Source organism: Homo sapiens, chromosome 12 (assembly GCF_000001405.40).
Source record: "Homo sapiens chromosome 12, GRCh38.p14 Primary Assembly".
Taxonomy (NCBI): domain Eukaryota; kingdom Metazoa; phylum Chordata; class Mammalia; order Primates; family Hominidae; genus Homo; species Homo sapiens.
The window spans coordinates 124,286,724-124,289,163 of NC_000012.12; the positions used below are offsets into that span (position 1 = coordinate 124,286,724).

The 2,440-nt window shown below is 44.0% G+C and overlaps 1 protein-coding gene across 2 annotated transcripts in view; it reads left to right on the top strand.

The window, feature by feature from the left end:
* The window catches only part of ZNF664-RFLNA (ZNF664-RFLNA readthrough), a 342,810-nt gene that overhangs the window by 313,509 nt on the left and 26,861 nt on the right, over positions 1–2,440 (top strand). The window lies entirely within an intron of this gene.

Sequence of the window (2,440 nt, forward strand, 5' to 3'; positions counted from 1 at the left end):
TGTGGCATTTCGGGGGCCAGTGGGCCCCTGGAAACTGTGCTTCCTCCTTGCCATCTCTGCATTTTCATCAGCTGGGAAGGACTCACTCTCTCTCCTGAATGCCTTTCAGCCACTTGGCTCTTACCTGGCTGAACTTCATGCTATATATACTTTTTTAAATTTTTAAACATTTTTTTGCATGACTCAAGTGAGCATCAGAACATCCTATATTACTTTTAATGTGCACAGATGTCCTTCTGGTAATTTACTCAGCTGTAGTTCAAAACGACTGTTCCATTAATGAGTTTTGTTTTGTTTTTGCCATGATGGCTCTTGAAAAACCACAGCACTTTTTGGAGCCCTCCTTTTTTTTTTTTTTTTTTTTTTTTTTTCAATATAACAACTTGTTTATCCCCAAACCTGCTAAATCAACAAATGATGTTTTGGCATTATGGATTCAGGCAGACACAGTCACCAATTTATGTGACATCACAGTTTCTAGTCAGACAAAATAACTGGAAAGCAATCTGGATGGTGTGCCACATTTAGAAGATCTCAAAACATTTGCTTTGCACAGATTCGCCGAGTGAGAGGCATGCAGAGGGGGCAGTGCTCACACTTTTCATCTGCTGTGCACGGGCGCCATTTCCACGAGTGTCACGCACTATTGTGTTATCCAGAAAGGTATATGTGTTTCACTTTAAGCATTCTACAACTTGGGAGCAAGAGAATTGTGAACCCCTAAAAAGCTGAAAAACGATAAAGAAAGTGGTGTAGAAAGGTGGGTGTATTGAAGGGGATTTCTTGAAGGTAACTCTAGACTCACCCTATACCACCCGCTACTCACCCTATACCACCCGCTACCCACTATTGCAGGGGTCGGCCAACTTTTTCTATACAAGGCAAGATTGCAAATAGTTTAGTCTCTGCAGACTATGCGTTCTCTGTTGCAAAAGGAAAACATAATAGTCATAGTATCTGGGGCTATCGTCTAGCACAAAGCTCTTTACCAATGCATCAGCTGGGGTTTGTGGAGTTTAAGCCTTGTCAGGGAGCAGGATATCCCCAAGATGTCAAAATATCTCCCCAGAGCTTCCTGATAAATCACAAAGGGAAAGCTACCTTGAGCACGAAGAAATGAGGTGGATACCACCTCCACCCAGTGATCATCCCTAGCATGACCAACAGTGGGACAAGCTGACGGGATGTGCCTCCTGAAGTTGATGGCGCAACATGGACCCTGAAAAATTCCTGCAAAATTGTTTATCCTACATCGAATCCTGAGACAGCAATCAGACAAATCCAGATCATGGGATGCTCTACAACTGGCCCAAACTCGTTAAAACTAGCCATGTCAGGAAAGGCAAAATAGGCTTGGGGTCTGTTAGGGTCGAAGAATTAAAGAGATGTTACTACACAGAACTGGGATTTCACCCTGCTGGCCAGGGAAGACATGGCTGTGCCACAGTCTCACAGACTCAAGCAGAAGACACAAGACTCCTGGGTCAGAGACAAAGGATGTTATTACTCACAATAATCACAGAAGCCAGGGGGTCAGCATGTTCTTGAGCCAGTTCCCCAGCTCTGGTTTCCACAGGGCCACTAGAAGGGGCCCAGGTGACCCTTGCACATGCAGCTGTTTGCACGACAGGGGAGAAATCCAGAGTGTAGGGAACCCGAATCTTTCACAGTGGGTAATAAGCCTGCCTGAACTTTTCTCCAGAGGGAACCATTATTTTTATTACAGTGGACAGGAAGCATGCCTATCCTTTGATTTGAAGAGAGACGCTATCTCTACCTTTCAAAACTGTTCTCCCTACAAACGTTATTGAAATGATAGCCCAGAATGAAGGGCGGCCAAGGCCTCTGTTTGCAAGATGGGAATAAACACGGGAGACTCATGAAGAATTGTCTCCTAATAGTGACAACGAAATGCAATGTGTGTGATCGCTTCTCTGCCTTTTGGCTAAGATCAAGTGAAATGCAACGTGTGTTTGAGCCCTGGGTTGAGAAAGAAAACAGCTTTAAAGGACATTGTTGGGAAAATTGGGGACATTTTGATATGGAATATAGGTTATATAATTGTATCAACGTTAAATTCCCTCAGTATGATCGCGGTATTGTGGTTCCATATCATCTTTCTTCTTAGGAGGTGCCGTTGAAGAGTTTTGGGGCAAAGGGGCATGATGTTTACCACCAATTTTTACATAGTTTAGCAAAACACAAAACAAAATAAACAGTACACACACACATACGAGAGAGAGAGAGAGAGAGAGAGAGAGAGAGAGAGAGAGATCCGATATGTCAACACCCAACAAACCCAAATGGTACTTGGGTTTTCATTACATTATTCTTGCAAAAATTCAGGGGGACCCAGCTTCCCCCAAGAACACACAGCTGGCTCTTGGCCAAGCCTGGCCGGGAGCGACCTTCTTCTGACTTTACGGAGTGTGTTTTCACT